At 42.6% G+C, this 24,720-nt stretch overlaps 1 protein-coding gene across 1 annotated transcript in view, besides 4 other annotated features; it reads right to left on the bottom strand.

The window, feature by feature from the left end:
- The window catches only part of LOC124903442 (uncharacterized), a 36,475-nt gene that overhangs the window by 7,537 nt on the left and 4,218 nt on the right, over positions 1 to 24,720 (bottom strand). The window contains exons 2-3 of the mRNA XM_047433398.1: positions 24,041 to 24,207; positions 23,051 to 23,178 (exon numbers count right to left, since the gene is read on the bottom strand). Of these exons, the coding sequence (XP_047289354.1) occupies positions 23,051 to 23,178; positions 24,041 to 24,207 (295 nt within the window). The remainder of the gene's footprint in view (positions 1 to 23,050; positions 23,179 to 24,040; positions 24,208 to 24,720) is intronic.
- Positions 17,035 to 18,001: an enhancer, noted in NCBI's record as "H3K4me1 hESC enhancer chr15:20511843-20512809 (GRCh37/hg19 assembly coordinates)". NCBI's record gives its function as "activates a minimal SCP1, AML or CMV promoter by ChIP-STARR-seq in naive and primed H9 embryonic stem cells {active_cell/tissue: H9 hESC(naive and primed)}" and the evidence as "EXISTENCE:reporter gene assay evidence [ECO:0000049][PMID:30033119]".
- Positions 18,002 to 18,970: an enhancer, noted in NCBI's record as "H3K4me1 hESC enhancer chr15:20510874-20511842 (GRCh37/hg19 assembly coordinates)". NCBI's record gives its function as "activates a minimal SCP1, AML or CMV promoter by ChIP-STARR-seq in primed H9 embryonic stem cells {active_cell/tissue: H9 hESC(primed)}" and the evidence as "EXISTENCE:reporter gene assay evidence [ECO:0000049][PMID:30033119]".
- Positions 19,459 to 20,336: an enhancer, noted in NCBI's record as "H3K4me1 hESC enhancer chr15:20509508-20510385 (GRCh37/hg19 assembly coordinates)". NCBI's record gives its function as "activates a minimal SCP1, AML or CMV promoter by ChIP-STARR-seq in primed H9 embryonic stem cells {active_cell/tissue: H9 hESC(primed)}" and the evidence as "EXISTENCE:reporter gene assay evidence [ECO:0000049][PMID:30033119]".
- Positions 22,136 to 22,635: an enhancer, noted in NCBI's record as "H3K4me1 hESC enhancer chr15:20507209-20507708 (GRCh37/hg19 assembly coordinates)". NCBI's record gives its function as "activates a minimal SCP1, AML or CMV promoter by ChIP-STARR-seq in primed H9 embryonic stem cells {active_cell/tissue: H9 hESC(primed)}" and the evidence as "EXISTENCE:reporter gene assay evidence [ECO:0000049][PMID:30033119]".

Genomic DNA, 24,720 nt, shown 5'->3' with positions numbered 1-24,720 from the left:
TCAAAACCACAATGAGATACCATCTCACACCAGTTAGAATGGTGATCATTAAAAGGTCAGGAAACAACAGGTGCTGGAGAGGATGTGGAGAAATAGGAACACTTTCACACTGTTGGTGGGACTGTAAACTAGTTCAACCACTGTGGAAGACAGTGTGGCCATTCCTCAGGGATCTAGAACTAGAAATACCATTTGACCCAGCCATCCCACTACTGGGTATATACCCAAAGGATTATAAATCGTGCTGCTATAAAGACACATGCACACGTATTGTGGCACTATTCACAATAGCAAAGACTTGGAACCAACCCAAATGTCCAACAATGATAGACTGGATGAAGAAAATGTGGCACATATACACCATGGAATACTATGCATCCATAAAAAATGATGAGTTCATGTCCTTTGTAGGGACATGGATGAAGCTGTAAATCATCATTCTCAGCAAACTATCGCAAGGACAAAAAACCAAACACCGCATGTTCTCACTCATAGGTGGGAATTGAACAATGAGAACACTTGGACACAGGAAGGGGAACATCACACACCAGGGCCTGTTGTGGGGTGGGGGGAGGGGGGAGGGGGGAGGGATAGCATTAGGAGATATGCCTAATATAAATGAGTTAATGGGTGCAGCACACCAACATGGCACATATATACATATGTAACAAACCTGCACATTGTGCATGTGTACCCTAGAATTTAAAGTATAATAAAAAAATACAAGAAAATAAAAAAAGAAAGAAATAGATGTTCTGTAAAAATATACACAATTTTTACAGACAAATACATTTATAAGTTGTTTTTATCTTAAAATTGGGGCTATTTCATATTTATAACTAATTATTGAACCTTAAGTTTTCTTGGCCATTTCTAGGCTAATAAACTAAGAATCATGTAAACTAAGCCAAAGTAGAATAGTCATAAAAGTCCTGAACACTTCAACTTCCTATCCTTCAAAAAGTATACCTCACAAAGCTCATTTGAGAGAGGAAAATCTTTCCTCCACCCTCTGTTTTACAGCGCTGAGGCTTCTCATCACATTTCTATGACTTGTAGCTTAAATCCATGTTACATGTTCACTGGCATTGTTAGTGCTTCTCTTTTAACACTGTAGGAGTTAATCAATTTGGTGGCATATTTAATTACTTCTATCACTAGTGGATTGTAAAATTACATATATTAATACCTCACTTTAGAGGCCACTTAATTTTTTTCCAAGGGGATATTTGACTATATTTCACTTGTGTCTTATTTAATGATTTTATAATTTAAACCCTAAATTATAAATCTAGAATTTAGAAAGTATATTTCCCCACTGGATTACATTTTTGGAAATATTATTTTATATGTGCACAAATATTACAAAATCACTGTAGACACCTGAAAACTATATTATCTTTTAAAGGCAATATTTACATTAAACTGGTATAACAAAATTGTTTGGTGCATTTTTTCCAGTACATTTTGTATATATTACGTTTAACCTTTTTTTATTCAGCAAATAATTTTTGAGTATCTACTAAGTGCTAGGTTCTGCATTACTAACTGAATTTAAAGAGTGAAATAACAGACATGGTCTCAGACAATAAAAATTAACATTAGGTCCCCTATTTATATATTTTAAAATGGTAATTATGAAAACTTTTTGAGATTTTTAACTAGATAACATTATAATAATACACTTGATGTTGTTAATATTTGCCAGTGAGCAAAAAAGAAAATAAAAAGATGGTTTTATTCAATATACACTTTAAAATTGCAGAAAATAGTCAAGTTTCTCTGCTTTGCAGTTGAATGTCTATGTGTTTTTCTCCGCAACTTGGCTTTTATGGAGTGAAACAATTATTCTTCCAGCCCAATAAAGTCAGAAGAATAACAATAAATCTAATATTTTAAATGCTTATCAAAAGATAGTAAACATATTATTTCAGAATACTGAGTTCAATAAGTTGACCTACAAAAAAAGCCAAACTGACAGTATTACTGAATAAAGAAAGGCCCAAAGAGACGAAATACTTTTCATTTTGTAACCTCGGTATGACACAACTTACCCTAACTATAAAGACCCTAAATTACCAAGATGGGTGCTTATAATATGGACAGTAAAAAAAGTCATTTCACTTTTAGCTTTTTTATTTCTCTCAGAATAAAAAGCGCATAAGGAGTTGATAAAGAAGTTGATACTATAAGTTAGTACTACAATGACAGCACTTTTCAAGAAAAGACTTTTTTCTGTCTTACAAATATCATGTTAGCAGTATTTGTTTCCTCCAGAAATAATGAGGAAATAAAAACATAAGTATGTGGGTAATTAGTGTAGTTTCTTAAAGAAATGAGTTAGGCAACAGGCTAATAATGTATACTTCACTGGCTTTTGAATGCCAACAATCATATTCTTTATAAGGCACAGACAAGATTTTTCTAAAGAATAAGTATGTGAACCTGAAAAGTAATCACCACTTGGTAGTGATAATATGGATAGGGTGAAGGGCGTCATCAAGAAGCAATGAAAAGATACATTTGCAGTTAAATTTGAAAACCATGATGTTTAATACATATAGTAATAAAGAATACTTTCTCCTGTTTCAAAATCATTTTAGAATTTAAGATAGAAGCTAAAATACCTAGGGATAATGATATGACTATCAAAAATTAAAAATTAAAGGACATTTTGAGTATTATAAGAATGAGAACTTATTACCCAATGAACAGGGGATAATTCATTATGCTCCATATCCATTGAATTAAAAGACAGGCCCATTACCTGGAAAATTTGAAAGTTTAATTTTATTTAAAAGTCTTGTTTCATTCATCAAGATAAAGGATTAGCTCCCAGAAATATTCTAGGATTGCATATCCCCAACTCTGTAGGAAGTATAGAAAGAATGTTAATAAGGGCCACCATCTAAACATTATTATGTAAATAATTTAGTACCATTCCATTTGCCTTTGTAGATTTAAAAATGTAAATGGCTTTCTCATATTAGGAAACATCATTTTTCAAAACCCAGATAAACATAGTATATTGCAAGAGAATATTATTTTCTTTATTAAAAAAGAAATACTGGATGCTAAGTCCAAAAGACATAAATTATTTTATACTAATAACTACTAACATTTTATTCATTAAAATAGAAAGGTCAAAGATTTTAAAATGATCTTTAAATGATTAATAACATGTTGATCTTTTTCTTCTTTCTGTAAAACTTTTTGAGTCTTAAAAATACTAAACTATACAAGCAATATTAAATAGTATATAAACTCGGATTAAAATATTCAAATTTACTAGAAGGTAGACATTGGAAAGAATGAAAATAAACAGAAGCATAAAGCAGCAGATATAAAATTAAGAAAGCAACTAAGAGTGTTTAAAGTACATATTCATCTGTAGTCTAATGTCTACCATAAACAATGAGTCTTCTCAGTAAAACACAAATTGTTCATGAAGGGAAAAAGCAAGTTGTAGTAGAGAATACTCAACATATTTTTTTTAGTACTAACTTGTGCTTGGAGTATTATTGGTTTTTCTATTATGCACTTATGCACTTGATAATTTTTTTCATCAAAATTGTATGTACAACTCCATTCAAAAGCAGTTTTTGGTGGGTTTTTTTTTTTTTTTTTTTGAGAAAGAGTTTTGCTCTTTTCACCCAGGCTGGAGTGCAATGGTGCGAACTTGGCTCACAGCAACCTAGCAACTTTTGCCTCCCAGGTTCAGGTGATTCTCTTGCCTCAGCCTCTCGAGAGGTTAGGACTACAAGCATGCACCACCATGCCTGGCTAATTTTGTGTTTTTAGTAGAGACATGGTTTTGCCATGTTGACCAGGCTGGTCTTGAACTCCTGACCTGAGGTAATCCGCCCACCTTGGCCTCCCAAAGTGCTAGGTATGGGCAAGAGCCACCATACCTGGCCTCAAAAGCAGTTTTTAAAAGCAAACACAATATAACACCAAAGTTGAAAAATCTATGCTCACCCAAGGATGCCAGGTTTAATAAATTATTTATAGAATACTGCATCAAAAATAAGACAATAACCCAAGATATACCATTAAAGATGTATCCACTCCTACAACTAGAGATAATTAATCTATCTGGTAGCAAATTATACTTCAATCAGTTTCAGCATGTCTGAAATCTTTAAGGACAAAAGTGATAAAACATGACTTCATTCTTCATTAGACTCTTAGAACACTTGAAGGAAAATAATTTCTGAAGCACAAAGAGGTAAAGAGGTGTAATCTTTCAAAAAGATATTCAGTGTTCAAAATCCAAGAGTGCAATATCAGGCTGGGTGCGGTGGCTTATGCCTGTAATCCCAGCACTTTGGGAGGCCATGGTGGGTGGATCACCTGAGGTCAGGAGTTCGAGACCAGCCTGGACAACAGGGTGAAACTCTGACTGTACTAAAAATACAAAAATTAGCCAGGCATGGTGGTGTGCACCTGTAGTCCTAGCTACCCGTGGGGCTGAGACAGGAGAATCGCTTGAACCTGGGAGGTGGAGGTTGCAGTGAACCGAGATCATGCCTCCTCACTCCAGCATCAGTAACAGAATGAGATTCCATCTCAAAAAAAAAAGTGTAATATCATATCGGTATACACAGATAATATACTGAATGAAATAAATAGAATAATTTGAAGAGGTATCTTGATAAACAAGGAGTCATTAGAAAGGTTGTATTCATGTCTTTGAAGGAAATTGCAATGTGAGAAATTAATACTTTGACTGCTATACTAAAAGTTTATTGCTAACATGTATTGAGTTATTAACGTGTGTTAGGCAGAGTACCATATAATTTACAGGTGTTATCTCATTTATTGTAGGTAAAATGTAATTTCGAACTCTGGGAGTATAAATGAATTAGATAGAATAAAATTCTATTTAAATGGCCATCAGTAAATCGGTATCTAGGAACAGGGTGATACAGTGCCCAAGTTTTCCATTCTTACTAAATGTTGTGTTTCATTTTCAATGTTTTCTTGGATATTGCTCTTTTTTGGTCATTTTGATTTTTTTTTATTTTAGAAAACTAATAAATTGACTCTTCTTGGTACTGACTCGGGTTTTATAGAAGAAAAAGTAATTAAATTCTGTACATTTACCTTTACCTCATTTTTTGTCTTTTAAATTTATTTTAATTGACATATAATAAATGTACATGTTATGGGGTACAGAGTGATATTTTGATATATTTATGCAATGCGTAAAGATCAAGTCAGAGTCATTATCATATCCATTACCTAAATCATGTATTATTTCTTTGCAGTGAGAATATTCAAAATCTTTTATTTTAGTTATTTGAAAACACACAATAAATTCCCATTAACTACAGTCACCCAACAGTGCTGTAGAGAATTAGAACTTCTTCCTTCTCTCCAGCTGTAATTTTGTATGTATTAACCACATTTTTCTTATACTCTTCTTTCTCCTACTCTTTCCAGGATATGGTAACCAAAACTCTACTATCTACTTCTATGAGATTAAAAATTTTAGCTTCCATACATAAGTGAGTACACGTAGTTATGTGGTGTTTATGTTTCTATGCCAGGCTTATTTCACCTAACATAATGCCCTCCACTTGCATTCTTGTTGCCACAAATAACAGGATTTTGTTCTTTATTATGACTAAATAATATTCCATTATATATGTATGTCACATTTCTTTATCCATTCATCTGTTGATGGACACTTTTGTCGATTCCATATCTTGGCTATTGTGAATAGTGCTGTAATAAACATGGGGGTGCAGCTAACTCTTTGATATACTGATTTTCTTTTCTTTGGATATATACTGAAAACCATATGATTTAATTAATAAACACAATAAAAGCATTTGGCAAAATTAAATATTCTTGAATGACAAAAAACCTCTCAACAATTTAGTATAGAAAATATATGCCTTAACACAGAAGGACATAAAGGACAAATCTACAACTAAGATCATACTGAGTGTGGAAAAGGTGAAAGATTTTACTGTGAACAAGAAAAAGATTTTACTAGAACAAGAAAAGGATGCCTATTCTCACCAATCATATTTCACATAGTGAAAGTCTTAGCCAGGACAATTAGGTGAGAGAAAGAAATAAAGGACATCTGAATTGGAAAGGAGACAGTCAAATTGTCCCTGTTTAAATCAGTAGCATTTCTATATATTGATAGTAAACTAGCTGAAACAAGAAATTAAGAAAGCAAATCCTTTTACAATAGCTATAAAAATGTACTTATAAATTTAACCAAGGAAGTAAAAGATTTTGACAACAAAAATGACAAATATTAATGAAAGAAATTAAAGAAAACACAAAAAAGGAAAGACATCCAAGTTTATAGATTGAAATAACTAATATTCTTAAAATGACCCACTATCCTATGTGATTTACAAATTTAGTACAATCACTAGCTTGTATTTTTAAAAGCACCTTTGCTGCATATTCTTAAGATATTCAATGACAATGCCTAGATTGAAGTTTGAGGTATTATTATATCTATTTTATATTGGGCACAATATAATGTTATCAGAGATAACAGTTTTGATTGGTCCTAGGTCATACAGTAATATATACATTGTGATTTATAGACATGCTATCTTTTCATACTCAGGCATTTAGAAAGTTCATTTAGACAAAGTTATAAAAACTTGCCTTCCTTTCTGCCTATATCACCTAAAAATCCTAATTTAAGAGGTAATAACATTTTTTATTTGATATACAATTTATCAACACAATAAAAATCTAACAATTATCATGTGCAGAGTGTGAAAATCTCATCAGATTAAGGAACACAAAGACATCTTTTTCATATTTCGAATGTAAAACTGTTTTGGAAACTTATTTTTAGAAACAGTTAAAAACATTTTTTCATTAGTTTTTCACGTAAAATTGTGACAACCAGCATGAAATAACTGTCATCACAGAAGCATGGTATATTCGATTCCAAAACATATTCTTTATAAGTTTTAATATATTTATGTATTATTTATACTTAGATTGTAACCCATAATGTAGATAATATTTTTCCTTCAACTCTTAAGAGTATTGTTAAATAAAATTAAAATTAATGAATTATAATTTTTGTTGGTTGGGAAAAAGAATAGACACACACGTGACAGTGCATCACTTCACCTCATCATTTCATCTCATCATCTCATCATTTCATCTCATCATTTTATCTCATCCCATCCCATCTCATCATATCATCTCATCATTTCATCAAATCTCATCTCCATTTCATTTTCATCATTTCATCATTTCATTTCACTATTTCATTTCATCTAATCTCATTTATCTCATTATGTCATTTCATATCATCTCATTTCATCTCATATTTTCATCTCATAATTTTTCATCTCATTTCATCTCATCATTTCATCTCATCTCATCATTTCTTCCTTTCATTTCAACATTTCATCTCATTTCTTCTCATCTCATTTCAATTTCATTTCATTATTTCGTTTCATCTCATTTCATTATTTCACCTAGTTTCATTATTTCATATCATCTCAATTCGTCTCATCGCATTTAATCTCAACATTTTTCTTTTTTCTTTTTTTTTATTATACTTAAATTTTAGGGTACATGTGCACATTGTGCAGGTTAGTTACATATGTATACATGTGCCATGCTGGTGCGCTGCGCCCACTAACTCGTCATCTAGCATTAGGTATATCTCCCAATGCTATCCCTCCCCCCTCCCCCCACCCCACCACAGTCCCCAGAGTGTGATATTCCCCTTCCTGTGTCCATGTGATCTCATTGTTCAATTCCCACCTATGAGTGAGAATATGTGGTGTTTGGTTTTTAGTTCTTGCGATAGTTTACTGAGAATGATGATTTCCAATTTCATCCATGTCCCTACAAAGGAGATGAACTCATCATTTTTTATGGCTGCATAGTATTCCATGGTGTATATGTGCCACATTTTCTTAATCCAGTCTATCATTGTTGGACATTTGGGTTGGTTCCAAGTCTTTGCTATTGTGAATAATGCCGCAATAAACATACGTGTGCATGTGTCTTTATAGCAGCATGATTTATAGTCCTTTGGGTATATACCCAGTAATGGGATGGCTGGGTCAATTGGTATTTCCAGTTCTAGATCCTTGAGGAATCGCCACACTGACTTCCACAATGGTTGAACTAGTTTACAGTCCCACCAACAGTGTAAAAGTGTTCCTATTTCTCCACATCCTCTCCAGCACCTGTTGTTTCCTGACTTTTTAATGATTGCCATTCTAACTGGTGTGAGATGGTATCGCATTGTGGTTTTCATTTGCATTTCTCTGATGGCCAGTGATGATGAGCATTTTTTCATGTGTTTTTTGGCTGCATAAATGTCTTCTTTTGAGAAGTGTCTGTTCATGTCCTTCGCCCACTTTTTGATGGGGTTGTTTGTTTTTTTCTTGTAAATTTGTTTGACTTCATTGTAGATTCTGGATATCAAGCCCTTTGTCAGATGAGTAGGTTGCAAAAATTTTCTCCCATTTTGTAGGTTGCCTGTTCACTCTGATGGTAATCTCTTTTGCTGTGCAGAAGCTCTTTAGTTTAATTAGATCCCATTTGTCAATTTTGGCTTTTGTTGTCATTGCTTTTGGTGTTTTAGACATGAAGTCCTTGCCCATGCCTATGTCCTGAATGGTAATGCCTAGGTTTTCTTCTAGGGTTTTTATGGTTTTAGGTCTAACGTTTAAGTCTTTAATCCATCTTGAATTGATTTTTGTATAAGGTGTAAGGAAGGGATCCAGTTTCAGCTTTCTACATATGGCTAGCCAGTTTTCCCAGCACCATTTATTAAATAGGGAATCCTTTCCCCATTGCTTGTTTTTCTCAGGTTTGTCAAAGATCACATAGTTGTAGATATGCGGCGTTATTTCTGAGGGCTCTGTTCTGTTCCATTGATCTGTATCTCTGTTTTGGTACCAGTACCATGCTGTTTTGGTTACTGTAGCCTTGTACTATAGTTTGAAGTCAGGTAGTGTGATGCCTCCAGCTTTGTTCTTTTGGCTTAGGATTGACTTGGTGATGCGGGCTCTTTTTTGGTTCCATATGAACTTTAAAGTCGTTTTTTCCAATTCTGTGAAGAAAGTCATTGGTAGCTTGATGGGGATGGCATTGAATCTGTAAATTACCTTGGGCAGTATGGCCATTTTCACGATATTGATTCTTCCTACCCATGAGCATGGAATGTTCTTCCCTTTGTTTGTATCCTCTTTTATTTCCTTGAGCAGTGGATTGTAGTTCTCCTTGAAGAGGTCCTTCACATCCCTTGTAAGTTGGATTCCTAGGTATTTTATTCTCTTTGAAGCAATTGTGAATGGGAGTTCACTCATGATTTGGCTCTCTGTTTGTCTGTTACTGGTGTATAAGAATGCTTGTGATTTTTGTACATTGATTTTGTATCCTGAGACTTTGCTGAAGTTGCTTATCAGCTTAAGGAGATTTTGGGCTGAGACAATGGGCTTTTCTAGATATACAATCATGTCGTCTGCAAACAGGGACAATTTGACTTCCTCTTTTCCTAATTGAATACCCTTTATTTCCTTCTCCTGCCTGATTGCCCTGGCCAGAACTTCCAACACTATGTTGAATAGGAGTGGTGAGAGAAGGCATCCCTGTCTTGTGCCAGTTTTCAAAGGGAATGCTTCCAGTTTTTGCCCATTCAGTATGATATTGGCTGTGGGTTTGTCATAGATAGCTCTTATTATTTTGAAATACATCCCATCAATACCTAATTTATTGAGAGTTTTTAGCATGAAGGGTTGTTGAATTTTGTCAAAGGCTTTTTCTGCATCTATTAAGATAATCATGTGGTTTTTGTCTTTGGCTCTGTTTATATGCTGGATTACATTTATTGATTTGCGTATATTGAACCAGCCTTGCATCCCAGGGATGAAGCCCACTTGATCATGGTGGATAAGCTTTTTGATGTGCTGCTGGATTCGTTTTGCCAGTATTTTATTTAGGATTTTTGCATCAATGTTCATCAAGGATATTGGTCTAAAATTCTCTTTTTTGGTTGTGTCTCTGCCTGGCTTTGGTATCAGAATGATGCTGGCCTCATAAAATGAGTTAGGGAGGATTCCCTCTTTTTCTATTGATTGGAATAGTTTCAGAAGGAATGGTACCAGTTCCTCCTTGTACCTCTGGTAGAATTCGGCTGTGAATCCATCTGGTCCTGGACTCTTTTTGGTTGGTAAGCTATTGATTATTGCCACAATTTCAGCTCCTGTTATTGGTCTATTCAGAGATTCAACTTCTTCCTGGTTTAGTCTTGGGAGAGTGTATGTGTTGAGGAATTTATCCATTTCTTCTAGATTTTCTAGTTTATTTGCGTAGAGGTGTTTGTGGTATTCTCTGATGGTAGTTTGTATTTCTGTGGGATCGGTGGTGACATCCCCTTTATCATTTTTTATTGCGTCTATTTGATTCTTCTTTTTTTCTTTATTAGTCTTGCTAGCGGTCTATCAATTTTGTTGATCCTTTCAAAAAACCACCTCCTGGATTCATTAATTTTTTGAAGGGTTTTTTGTGTCTCTATTTCCTTCAGTTCTGCTCTGATTTTAGTTATTTCTTGCCTTGTGCTAGCTTTTGAATGTGGTTGCTCTTGCTTTTCTAGTTCTTTTAATTGTGATGTTAGGGTGTCAATTTTGGATCTTTTCTGCTTTCTCTTGTGGGCATTTAGTGCTATAAATTTCCCTCTACACACTGCTTTGAATGCGTCCCAGAGATTCTGGTATGTTGTGTCTTTGTTCTCGTTGGTTTCAAAGAACATCTTTATTTCTGCCTTCATTTCGTTATGTACCCAGTAGTCATTCAGGAGCAAGTTGTTCAGTTTCCATGTAGTTGAGCGGTTTTGAGTGAGATTCTTAATCCTGAGTTCTAGTTTGATTGTACTGTGGTCTGAGAGATAGTTTGTTATAATTTCTGTTCTTTTACATTTGCTGAGGAGAGCTTTACTTCCCAGTATGTGGTCAATTTTGGAATAGGTGTGGTGTGGTGCTGAAAAAAATGTATATTCTGTTGATTTGGGGTGGAGAGTTCTGTAGATGTCTATTAGGTCTGCTTGGTGCAGAGCTGAGTTCAATTCCTGGGTATCCTTGTTGACTTTCTGTCTCGTTGATCTCTCTAATATTGACAGTGGGGTGTTAAAGTCTCCCATTATTAATGTGTGGGAGTCTAAGTCTCTTTGTAGGTCACTCAGGACTTGCTTTATGAATCTTGGTGCTCCTGTATTGGGTGCATATATATTTAGGATAGTTAGCTCTTCTTGTTGAATTGATCCCTTTACCACTATGTAATGGCCTTCTTTGTCTCTTTTGATCTTTGTTGGTTTAAAGTCTGTTTTATCAGAGACTAGGATTGCAACCCCTGCCTTTTTTTTTCTTTTCCATTGGCTTGTTAGATCTTCCTCCATCCTTTTATTTTGAGCCTATGTGTGTCTCTGCATGTGAGATGGGTTTCCTGAATACAGCACACTGATGGGTCTTGACTCTTTATCCAATTTGCCAGTCTGTGTCTTTTAATTGGAGCATTTAGTCCATTTACATTTAAAGTTAATATTGTTATGTGTGAATTTGATCCTGTCATTATGATGTTAGCTGGTTATTTTGCTCATTAGTTGATGCAGTTTCTTCCTAGTCTCGATGGTCTTTACATTTTGGCATGATTTTGCAGTGACTGGTACCGGTTGTTCCTTTCCATGTTTAGTGCTTCCTTCAGGAGCTCTTGTAAGGCAGGCCTGGTGGTGACAAAATCTCTCAGCATTTGCTTGTCTGTAAAGTATTTTATTTCTCCTTCACTTATGAAGCTTAGTTTGGCTGGATATGAAATTCTGGGTTGAAAATTCTTTTCTTTAAGAATGTTGAATATTGGCCCCCACTCTCTTCTGGCTTGTAGAGTTTCTGCTGAGAGATCCACTGTTAGTCTGATGGGCTTCCCTTTGAGGGTAACCCGACCTTTCTCTCTGGCTGCCCTTAACATTTTTTTCTTCATTTCAACTTTGGTGAATCTGACAATTATGTGTCTGGAAGTTGCTCTTCTCAAGGAGTATCTTTGTGGCGTTCTCTGTATTTCCTGAATCTGAATGTTGGCCTGCCTTGCTAGATTGGGGAAGTTCTCCTGGATAATATCCTGCGGAGTGTTTTCCAACTTGGTTCCATTCTCCCCATCACTTTCAGGTACACCAATCAGACGTAGATTTGGTCTTTTCACATAGTCCCATATTTCCTGGAGGCTTTGCTCATTTCTTTTTATTCTTTTTTCTCTAAACTTCCCTTCTCGCTTCATTTCATTCATTTCATCTTCCATCGCTGATACCCTTTCTTCCAGTTGATCGCATCGGCTCCTGAGGCTTCTGCATTCTTCTCGTAGTTCTCGAGCCTTGGTTTGCAGCTCCATCAGTTCCTTTAAGCACTTCTCTGTATTGGTTATTCTAGTTATACATTCTTCTAAATTTTTTTCAAAGTTTTCAACTTCTTTGCCTTTGGTTTGAATGTCCTCCCGTAGCTCAGAGTAATTTGATCGTCTGAAGCCTTCTTCTCTCAGCTCGTCAAAGTCATTCTCCATCCAGCTTTGTTCCGTTGCTGGTGAGGAACTGCGTCCCTTTGGAGGAGGAGATGTGCTCTGCTTTTTAGAGTTTCCAGTTTTTCTGTTCTGTTTTTTCCCCATCTTTGTGGTTTTATCTACTTTTGGTCTTTGATGATGGTGATGTACAGATGGGTTTTTGGTGTGGATGTCCTTTCTGTTTGTTTTCCTTCTAACAGAGAGGACCCTCAGCTACAGGTCTGTTGGAGTACCCTGCTGTGTGAGGTGTCAGTGTGCCCCTGCTGGGGGGTGCCTCCCAGTTAGGCTGCTTGGGGGTCAGGGGTCAGGGACCCACTTGAGGAGGCAGTCTGCCCGTTCTCAGACCTCCAGCTGTGTACTGGGAGAACCACTGCTCTCTTCAAAGCTGTCAGACAGGGACATTTAAGTCTGCAAAGGTTACTGCTGTCTTTTTGTTTGTCTGTGCCCTGCCCCAAGAGGTGGATCCTACAGAGGCAGGCATGCCTCCTTGAGCTGTGGTGGGCTCCACCCAGTTCAGGCTTTCCAGCTGCTTTACCTAAGCAAGCCTGGGCAACGGCAGGCACCCCTACCCCAGCCTCACTGCCGCCTTGCAGTTTGATCTCAGACTGCTGTGCTAGCAATCAGCGAGACTCCGTGGGCGTAGGACCCTCCGAGCCAGGTGCGGGATATAATCTCGTGGTGCGCCGTTTTTTAAGCCCGTTGGAAAAGTGCAGTATTCGGGTGGGAGTGACCCAATTTTCCAGGTGCCATCCATCACCCCTTTCTTTGACTCAGAAAGGGAACTCCCTGACCCCTTGCGCTTCCCAAGTGAGGCAATGCCTCGCCCTGCTTTGGCACGTGCACGGTGCGCGCACCCACTGACCTGCACCCACTGTCTGGCACTCCCTAGTGAGATGAACCTGGTACCTCAGATGGAAATGCAGAAATCACCCGTCTTCTGCGTCGCTCACGCTGGGAGTTGTAGACCGGAGCTGTTCCTATTTGGCCATCTTGGCTCCTCCCTACCTCATCATTTTTCATCTCATCATTTTTCATCTCATTTAATCTCATTTCATTTCATCTCATCATTTCAGCTCATCATTTCATCTCACCACATCTCTTCATTTCATCATTTCATTTCAACATTTCATATTTCATCTCATCTCATCTTTCAATTTCATTTCAATACCATCATTTCATCATTTCATTTCATCTCATTTCATTATTTCATTTCATCTCATTTCAATTCATCTCATCATTTTATCTCATCATTTTTCATCTCATCATTTAATCTCATCATCTCATCTCATCATTTCATCTCATTTCATCATTTCATTTCATCATTTTATCTCATTTCATCTCATTTCAATTTCATTATTTCATTTCATTTCACTTCATCTCATCTCATCTCATCATTTCATCTCATCTTATCTCATTTCATCTCATTTCTTCTCATCTCATCTCATCATTTCATCATTTCATCTCATTTCATCTCATCTCACCTCATCTCATCATTTCATCTCATCATTTCACCTCATCCTTTCAGCTCATCATTTCATCTCATTTCATCTCATCTCACCTCAGCATTTCGTCATTTCATCTCATCATTTATTTCATCTCATTTTATCTCATCATTTCATCTCATCTCATCTCAATTCAATTTCCTTTAATTATTTCATTTCATCTCATCATTTCATCTCATTTCATCACATTATTCATCTCATCATTTCATCTCATCTCATCATTTCCATTTCATTTCCATTTCATTATTTCATTTCATCATTTAATTTCATCATCTCATTTAATTTCACCTCATTTCATTATTTCATTTCATTTTTTCATTTCATTATGTCATTTCATTTCATCTCATTACATTTCATCTAATTTCATTTCATATCATTTCATCTCATCTTTTCATCTCATTTCATCTCATCATCTCATCAACTCATTTCATCTTATCTCATCATTTCATCAACTCATTTCATCTCATCATTTCATCATTTCATCTCATCATCTCATCAACTCATTTCATCTTATCTCATCATTTCATCATTTCATCTCATCATTTCATCTCATCTCATATCTTCTCATTTCAATTTCATTTCATTATTTCATGTCATCTCATCTCATCATTTCATCTCATCACATCTCATCATTTCATCATTTTATTTCATAATTTCATCTTATCATTTCATCTCATTTCATCTCATCTCAATTTTATTTCAATTTCATTTCATTATTTCATTTCATCTCATTATTTCATTTCATCAGTTCATCTCATCATCTCATCTCATCTCAAATTTATTTCAATTTCATTTCATTATTTCATTTCATCTCATTATTTCATTTCATCAGTTCATCTCATCATCTCATCTCATCTCATCATTTCATCTCATTTCATATCATTTTATCTCACCATTTCATCTCATCTCATCATTTCGTCTCATCTCATTTTATGTCATCATTTCGTGTCATCATTTCATCACATCTCATCTCATCTCATCTTTTCATCTCATCATTTCATCATTTCATCTCATCATTTCAACTCATTGCATCTCATCTCATCATTTCCATTTCATTATTCCATTTCATCATTTATTTCATTTCATTGTCATTTCATCTCGTCACATTTCATCTCATCTCATCATTTCATCTCATCATTTCATCTCATTATTTCATCTGATTTCATGTTATCATATCTTGTCATCATTTCATCTCACTTCATCACATCTCATCTCATCATTTAATCTCATCATTTAATCTCATTTCATCTCATCATTTCATCTCATCTCATCATTTCATCATTTCATCTCATCATTTCTGCTCATCTCATCATTTCCATTTCATTTCCATTTATTTCATCATTTTATTTCATCATTTCATTATTGCATTTCATCTCATTTCATTATTGCATTTCATTATGTCATTTCATTTCATCTCATTTCATTACATCTCATTTCATCTCATTTCATCTCATCATTTCATCTCATCTCATCTCATCATCTCATTTCATCTCATCATTTCATCTCATTTCATCTCATCTCACTTCATCATTTCATCTCATCTCATTTCAATTTCATCATTACATTTCATAATTTCATTATTTCATTGCATCTCATTTCATTATTTCATCTCATTTCATCTCATTTTTCATCTCATCATTTTTCATCTCATTTCATCTCATCATTTCATTTTATCATCTCATCATTTCATCTCATCATTCATCTCATTTCATCTCATCATTTTATCTCATTATATCATCTCATCTCATTTCAATTTCATTATTTCATATCATTTCATTTTTTCATTTCATTTCATCTCATCATTTCTTCTCATCATTTCATCTCATTTCATCTCATCATTTCATCCATCATCTCATCATTTCATCTCATTTCATCTCATCTCATCTCCTTTCAATTTCTTTTCAATTTTGTCATTTTGTCTCATCATTTAATCTCATCATTTCTACTCACCATTTCATCTCAAAATTTCATCTCATCATTTCATCTCATCTCATCATTTAGTCATTTCATCTCATCTCAAGTCATATTATCATTTCATCTAAGTGAAATGACGTAATGGAATCATGAAATGAAATGGATAGGATGCCCTCAGTGATGTTAAATTTAAAAATTGTTTTCATGTATTCATTTGTATATTTACATGTATTTATATTTATATTTACTTATATTTCTTTTTACTTATTTTTATTTATGTTTTTACTTATTTCTTTATTTATAGACAAGGTCCTGTTCTGTGGCCTAGGCTGCAATGCAGTGGTGCATTCACAGTTCACTGCAGCCTTGAGCAAACCTCCCACCTTAGCCTCCCGGGTAGCCGGGACCCCAGGTGCGCACCACCACACCTGGTTAATATTTTATTATTTGTAGAGATGGAGTCTTGCTATTCTGCCCAGGCTGGTCTCAAACTCCTGGGCTCAAGCAATCCTCCTGCCTCTGCAACCCAAAATGCTGGGATTACAGATATGAGCCACAGTGCCCAACCTATTTATTTATTTATTTATTTAATAAAGAAAAGGTCTCAATATGTGGCCCAGGCTGGTCAACTCCTGGACTCAAATGATTCTCCCAACTTGGCCTCTCAAAATGTTGGGATTACAGGTATGAGCCACCATGCCTGGCCTAAAAATAATATTATATTTTTGTATTATATAATTTTCAATTAGGTAATATGAATACTCTGTACAGGAAATACGCCCTTAATTACATAGGAATAAACATTTGTTACACTGAGAAAAATCTAATAGAGCTAAAAATAAAAATTAATTTGGAAAGTTCATTAGATACTCATACATTCTTACGTTTATACATTCTTTCATATATTCATATACTCTTTTAACAGTATCAATGGTTTGGAGTTATGTGTACAAAACCATGACCTATATGTAATACAACTAATAACAAGCACTTACAATTCAAGGCATATTATATACAAAGCTTTAACTTCTCATCATCAGATTTTTTTTTCTTTCTGTTTTGGCAGATACTATGAACACAACATTCAACTCACAGACACCATGGAGCCCTTACTAAGCATAAAGTACTGTGAAAGGCCAGGGCTAGGACAGAACTGAGACAGGGCCAGGGATAGGACAGAACCGGGGCAGGGTCATGGACAGAGAAAAACCAGGGGCAGGGTCATAGCCAGGGACATGAGAGGACCAAGGCCAGGGCCAGAAGTAGGGCAGAACCAGGGCCAGGGCAGGGACATGGCAGGGCCAGGGCCATGGCAGGATCAGGGTCAGCAGAAGGCCAGGGCAGGGCTAGGGTAGCACAGGGCCAAGGCAGGGCAGGGTCAGTGTAGAGCAAGAATGGGCCAGAGTATGGCAGGGCAGGGACAGGGAGGTCCAGGGCCAGAGTCAGGTCCAGGACATGGACAGGGCAGGGCCAGAAACATGGCAGGACCAGAAAGGGGACAGGGCAAGGGCAAGGCCAGAGAAGGACCATGGAAAAAACATGGCCAGGGAGGGTCCAGGGCAAGGGCAACGCCAGGGCAGAACCAGAGCCAGGGCAGGCCAAAGGCAGGGCCAGGCCAGGGCAAGGTCAGGGTAGGGCAGGGCCAGTGTAGGGTGAGGGTAGGGCCAGGGCGAGTTCAGGGCCAGGGTAGGACTAAGATAGCACAGGGCCAGTGCAGGGCCAAAGGAGGGGCCAGGGCCAAGCATGGCCAGTGTGGGGCCTGGGGATTGTCAGGGCCAGGGCCAGGGTCAAGACTGGGCCAGGGGCAGGGCCAGGGAGAAGGCAAAACCAGAGAGGATCCAGAGCAAGAGCAGGGCCAGGGCAGAACCAGGACCAGGATAAGGCAAAGCCAAGGCCAGGGCAGGGCAAGGCCAGGGCAGGGCAAGACCAGGGAAGGGCAAGGCCAGGGTAGAAAAGGCTAGTGTAGGGCCAGGCCAGGGTAGGAGAAGGCCACGGTAGGGCCAAGGCAGGGCAGGGCTAAGGTAGCACAGGGCATGGCCAAAAACAGGGCAGGGCCATAGCAGTGGCAGGACTAGCAACAGGGCCAGGGTAAGTGCTGGACCAGAGCATGGTGGGGACAATACAGGTCCAGGACAGACGATGGCAAGGCAAGTCCAGGGCCATTTCATGGACTCGGTAGGCCTGGGGTCAGGCCAGGTCAGGGCAAGAGCAAGGCCAGGGAGAAGGCAGGGCCGTAGCCAAGGCAGTGCCAGGGCAGGGCAGGACCAGTGCAGGGCCAATGCAGGGTGAGGGCAAGGCCAGGGCATGGAAGGGGAGGGCAGGACCAAGGAAGGGCCAGGAGAGGGCCACGGCAGGGTCAAGGCCAGAACAAGGGTACGGCTGGGGTCAGGAATATGGTAGGACAAGGGCTGGGCCCAGGCTGGGACATGCAGGGCAGAGCATGGCCTGTGCAAGGCACGGCCAGAGCCAGGCCATAGAGATGGGAGGGCAACACCAAGGCAGAGTCAGGGTAGATCCAGGGCTGAGCAGAGTCAGGGCAGGTCCAGAGTCGAGGCAGAGCTAGGGCCCAAGCAGGGCCATGGCAGCGCCAGGGCAGAGGAGGGCAGGGCAACGCAGGACTGGACCATGGTAGTGCCTGGTCAACTCCGGGGCAGGGCCAGAAGCAGGACAGGGACAGGGCCAATGCTCAGGCCAGGGACAGGGCATGACAGAAGTGCCAGAGCAGGGCTGGGCCAACGTTGGGGCAGGGCAAATCAGACCAGGACACCTCCAAGTCCAGCTCTGGCCCTGCCTTGGCCCTGGCCCCTTCCTGGCCTGACCTTGTCCCTGGCCCTGCCCTATCCATGCCCTGTGTGTTTGAGCAGTGTTTTATAACCAGAATCCTACAAGAAACTTAAATCAGCTCTTTTTGTGCATTTTTAGTAGAGATGGGGTTTCACAATGTTGCCCAGGCTGGTTCCAAACTCCTGAGCTCAAGCCATCTGCCTGCCTTGGCCTCCCAAAGTGCTGGGATTACAGGAGTAATCTGGCCAAGTATTTAACTTCTTTATGCCTGTTTCCTACATTTGGAAAATGGGGATGCTTTAAGTACCTAGCATGTAGAATTATTGTGAGAATCAATGCCTCACATATTTACATATTGATAAAATTATACTCATAGAATACTACTGGAAGCAAAGATAGTATTAGTTAAAATTTAGTGATTATTTACTGCAAATATTATTACTATTACAAACAACATAGTATAGACATTATTACTACTACTGTAGTTATCTTAAAAATCTAAAATAAAAATTTTACATAACAGCCTAACGTAATCTCTCCTGCTCTGCCCCGGCTCAGCCCTAGTACCAGCTCTGCCCCTAGTCCTACCACATTCCTGGCCCTGACCCTTCCCTGGTCATGCCGCTGCCTTGGCCCTTCCCATCTTCAGGCCTTACCATGGCCCTACCCTGGTCCTGACCCTGGCCCTACCCCAGAGAAGGGGTATGGCAGAGCCAGGGAAGCGCCGGGGAAATAAGGGACAGGACACATCCAAATCCAGAAAAGGGCCAGGGCCATGACAGAGCCAGGGCGAGTCCTTGGCAGGGCCAGGTTCCAGGCCAGGGCCAGGAAAGGGTCATGGCAGGGTCACTGTATGGCCAAGGTCCAGGCCAAAGCCAAGGCACAGGCAGGGTCAGGCCTGCATAAGGGCAGGACGAGAGCCAGGCCATAGAGTAGGGCAAATGCCAAGCCAAGGCCAGGGTAGTGCCAGGGCTAAGGCAAGGTCAGGGAAGGTCCAGGGCTGCGTCAAGGCTAGAACCAAGACGGGGCAAAGGCCGGGGCAGATCTAGGGCACAAGCAGGGCAGGCTAAGGCAGGGCAATGGCAAGACCAGGCCATGGCAGGGCCAGCCCAGGATAGAACAGGGCACAGGCAGGGCAGGGCCAGGACCATGGCTGGGGCAGGACAAGGACCAGGACCGAGGTCCAGGCCAGGGCAAGGGTATGGCCAGGGCAGAGGTAGGGCCCGAGCCAGGGTCTGGGCAGGACCAAGGCAGGTCTATTGCAGGGCCAGGGTTCAGACCAGGGCCAGAGCAGGGCTGGGACAGGGCCAGGGCCAGAACCAGGAAAGGGCAATGTCAGAACAAGGGCCATGGCAGGACCAGCAACGGGGCTGGGGCCAGGACAGGGACAGGGACCGGGTCAGGGCCAGGGCCAGAATAGCATGCCAGGGTAGAGCCAGGCCAAATTAGGGCCAGGACAGGGTCAGGACCAGGGCTGGGCCAGGGTATGGCCTTAAGTAGTGAACGGCCAGGGCCAGGGTCCATGCCAGTGCCAGCCTCGGTCCAGGGCAGAGGCAGGGCCATGGCCAGGTCAAGGACAAGGCTGGGGCAGGGCCAAGGTCTGGGTCAGGGTCAGCACAAGACCAGGACAGAGCCAGGGGAGGGACAGGGCCATGATAAGACCAGGTTAAATCATGGACAAGACACCTGCAAATCCACTTCAGGGCCAGGGTCAGGGCAGGGCCAGTTCAGGGCCAGGGCCAAGACAGGGCCAGGGCCAGGGCTGTCAGGGTCATTGGCAGGGCAAGGGCCATGGCAGGGCCAGGGTCAGGAGCAAGGGTCAATGCCAGGCTAAGGCCACAGATAGGACCAGGTCTGTGCTAGGGCCAGTGTGAGGGCCAAGGCAGGGTCATGGCAGGGCCAAAGGGAGGGCAGGGCCAGGGCAGGGTGGAGCAGGCCCAGGGTAGCACAGGGTTAAGGTAGGGCATGACCAACCAGGGCAGGTCTATGGCTGGGGCCGGGGCAGGGCCAGGGCCAGGGCAGGGCCAGAGCCAGGGCAGGGCCAAGACAGTGGCAGCTCCAGGGCAGGGCCAGGGTTAGGACCACGGACATGTCCAAGGCCAGTGCCAGGGCAAGGGCAAGGGCAGGTGCAGGGCCAGGTTCATCTAAGAACCAGGGACAAAGCCAGGCCCAGAGCTGGGCCAGGACAGGTACCTGGCAGGGCTAGGGTCTGGGACAGGGCCATGGCAGGGCCAGGGCCACAACCAGGTCTGTGCTATGGCCAGGTCCAACAGAGTGGCCAGGTAAGGCTAGGGTGAAGGCCAAGGTAGGGCCAGGGCAGGGTCAAAGCCAGGCTAGGGCCAAGGCAGGGCCAGGACAGGCAAGACAGGGCCAGGAAAGCATAGGGCCAAGGCAGGGCAGGGCCAGGGAACAGCCAGGGCAGGGCCAGGGCCATGGCCATGGCCTGGGCAGGACCAGGTTCGGGGCAGGAGCAAAACAAGGACACGGTCAGTGCAGGATCTTGGCACAGCCAGGGTCCAGGACAGTGTCAGGGAAGGGCCAAGGCAGGGTCTGGGCCATGGTAAGACCAGCAACAGGGCTGGGGCTAGGCCAGTGACAGGACCAGAGTCAGGGCAAGGGCCAGAGCAGTGCAAGGCCAGGGTAGGGCCAGGCATTTCAGGGTCAGGGCCAGGGGAGAACCAGGGCAAGGTCTCAAGCAGGGAAGGGCCAGGGCCAGGACAGGTCCAGGGCAGGGCCATGACAGGGCCAGGGGCTGCGTTAGGGCAAGGGCAGAGCCAGGGCAAGGTAAGGGTCAGGGCCAAGGCCAGGGTAGGGACAGGGCAAGAAATATGGCAGGACCAGGGGCAATGCCAAGGCCAAGGCTGGGCCAGGGCTGAGCCAGGGCTGAGTCGGGCAGGGCAGGGCAGGGCATGGTATGGCCAGTGCAGGACAGGACAAGAGCCGGTCCACACAGAGAGCAGAGCTGATGCCAAAGAAGAGCCAGGCTAGTGCCGAGGCTGAGGCAGTGTCAGAGCATGTCCAGGGCAGGGCCGGGGCCAGGGCCAGAACCGAGCCAGGGCACAGCCAAGGCAGGGTAGGGCAGGGAAATAGCATGGCCAGGTCAGTACTGGGACAGGGCAGAGCAGGGCAAGGCAATGGTAGCGGCAGGGCAGGGACATGCCAATGCAGAGCTATGTTACGCCGGGGCCAGGACACCTCGAAGTTCACTTCAGGGCCAGGGCTATGGCAGGACAAAGACCAGGGCCAGAGTCAGGGCCAGGTCTGTGCTAGGGCCAGCTCCAGAGCAGGGCCTAGTGAAGACTAGGGTGAGGGCCAAGGTAAGGCCAGGGCAGGGTCAAAGGCAGAGTAGGGCCAGGTCAGGGTGATGACACATCCAGAGCACAGCAGGGCAGGGTGATGGCAAGACCAGGGGCAGACCACTGCCAGCTCAGGACCACGGAAAGGCCAGTGCAGAGCCAGGAAAGGGTCTGGGTCTGGGTCAGGGCCAGGAACAAGGCAGAGCAGGGCCAGGGCCATGGCAGAGTCAGGGCAGGTCCTTGACAGGACCAGGTTCCAGGCCAGCAGCAGGGCCAGGGCCTGGATAAGGGCAGGGCCAGGGATATGGCAGGACCAGGGCTAGGGTCAGGGCCAGGCCATAGTGAGGGCAGGGCAAAAGCCAAGGCAGGGTCAGGGCAGGTCCAGGGAGCGGCCAGCACCAAGCAGGGCCAAGGCACAACCAGCACAGGGTAAGGCAGGGCAATGGCACCACTAGGCCATGACAGGGCAAGGTCAGTGCCAGGAGAGGGTAGAACAGGCAGGCCTATGGTGGGGCCAGGGCAGGGATGGGCCAAAGCAGGGCCAGGACATGTCCAAGGCCAGGTCAGGGCCAGAACAGGAGCAGGACCATGACCATTGGCAGGGCCAGTGCCATGACAGCACCAGGGTCAGGACAAGGGGCAGGGCCAGAGCCAGGGCCAGAGCCAAGGTCAGGCCAGGGCAGGTTCAGGGCAGGGCCAGTGCCAGGGCAAGACCAGGGCAAGGACAGGGTAGCACAGGGCCAAGACAGGGTCAGGATGGGACCAGAGTAGGACAGGGCCGAGACAGTCCAGGTAACAGTAGGGCAGGTACAGGGCAAGGCAGGGCAGTACAGGGTCAGATCCACGGCATGGGCAGGGCAAAGCCATTGCCAATGCGCCAGCCCTCCCTACAAGGCTCCTACCACCTGGCCACTGCTGCAGCCCGTCCATTGCTGTAAGCCTGACCCCCAACCCTGGCTGCAGCCACCTGCCCTCCTAGTGCGGCCGCTCTCCTACCACTCTGGTGCACTGCAGTCTCCGTTGATGCCACCCTCCCGCAGCGAGGCGAGCCGTGGTGTCGCAGGCTCTAGGTGTCTCCTCCTCCTCCTGGCATGGAGCAGCTGGGCGGGCAAAGCCAGAAAAGCCTAGAGGAAGATGTGAGGGGTGGAAGGGTTAGAGCCTCACCTTGTCATGCCAGCCACTGGGTGGCAGGGGCCAGTTTCAGCAAAGGCACTCACACCCACCCTCCAAAGTCCAGCCTCTCCCTTTGGCCCAAGCTGGCCAGGAACTGGGGTCTGGGGTGGGTGCTGGAGACACCACAGCACCCAGCTCCCCACTCCACAGGAACCATTGGGCCCACCAGGGCTGCACTCCTCAGGGAGTAGGAGAAGCAGAAAAATTCAGACCCAGACAGCCCTCCGCACCCAGGTGCCAATTCCTGTTCCGGACGCCTCCACACACAGGGCCCTGTCCCCCGTGGTGTCCCCAGGGGTGCCTGGCAGCCTCTGAGGCACAGACCCAGAGTGCACAGGCCCAGGAACCACGGTGGGTGTGGGGGCTCTGCCACGCTCAGGATTCCCACGCAAACGCTGTGCGCCTGCCGCACCCCAGTATGACCAAGAGTGGGTCGCTCTCTGGAGTGTGGAGTCAGGGAGAGGAGAACCACTCCTTCCTTGGATGCCAACTCTGCTGACCGCCGCCAGCAGTGCAGCCCCTGATAGCACTGAACTCACCCCTCTCCACGGCTAGTCCTGCCCTCAATAGCTCCCCCCACCTCCATCCCCCAATGCCACCAGTAGCGTATACCTGATAGTGCCCTAACCTGTCCTTCTCCATGGGCATTGCAGTCCCAGAAAGCACCCATAACCCACCCTCCCTGCCATGTGCAGTGAAGCCCTGTACAGTGCTACCAACCAGTACCCCTAATGCAGGCAATGACACCCTGGATAGCGCCCCCAACCCACCCCACACTGCGAAAGGTGCAGCCCTGGATAGCCCCTGTCCTACCACTTTGGTCGTGCTGCAGTCTCTGTCACCGCCACCACCAACCACAGTGAGGCAAGCCAGTGGGCCACAGGCTGTAGCACCCAGCAGCCAGGCATGGAGCAGCTCTCGCTGATGGCCGGCTCCTACCACTCTGACCACGCTGCTGTCTCCGTGGCCATCTTCTTTGACTACAAAGGAATAAAACTAGGTATCAATAAGAAGAGTAATTTTGGAAACAATACAATCACATGGAAGTTAAACACTACCCTCCTGAATAAATGACTAGTGGGTCAATGAAGATACTAAGACAGAAATTCAAAAATTTCATGAAACAAAGGGTAATGAAAACACAGTATACCAAAACTTGTTATGCAGAAAGCAGTACAAAGGCAGAGATTTACAGCTATAAGTGCCTACCATCCAAACAAAAGAAAAACTTTAAATAAACAATACATCTTAAAGAACTATTAAAGTAAAAACAAACTAAACCGAAAATAAGAAAATAAATAAGATCATAGCAGAAATAAAATTGAAATAAAAAACACATATGATTAAATGAAAAGTTGGTTTTCTGGAAAGCTAAACAAAATTGACAAACTTTTAACCAGGCTAACTAAGAAAAAAGAGAAAAGATTCAAATAAATAAAATCAACAGATTAAAAAAAAGGAGACATTACAACTAATACTTCAGAAATTCAAAG

This window comes from Homo sapiens, chromosome 15 (assembly GCF_000001405.40).
Source record: "Homo sapiens chromosome 15, GRCh38.p14 Primary Assembly".
In the NCBI taxonomy this organism is placed as follows: Eukaryota; Metazoa; Chordata; class Mammalia; order Primates; family Hominidae; genus Homo; species Homo sapiens.
Note: the sequence above shows the minus strand (reverse complement) of the source record. Positions and strands in the feature narration are given on the sequence as shown.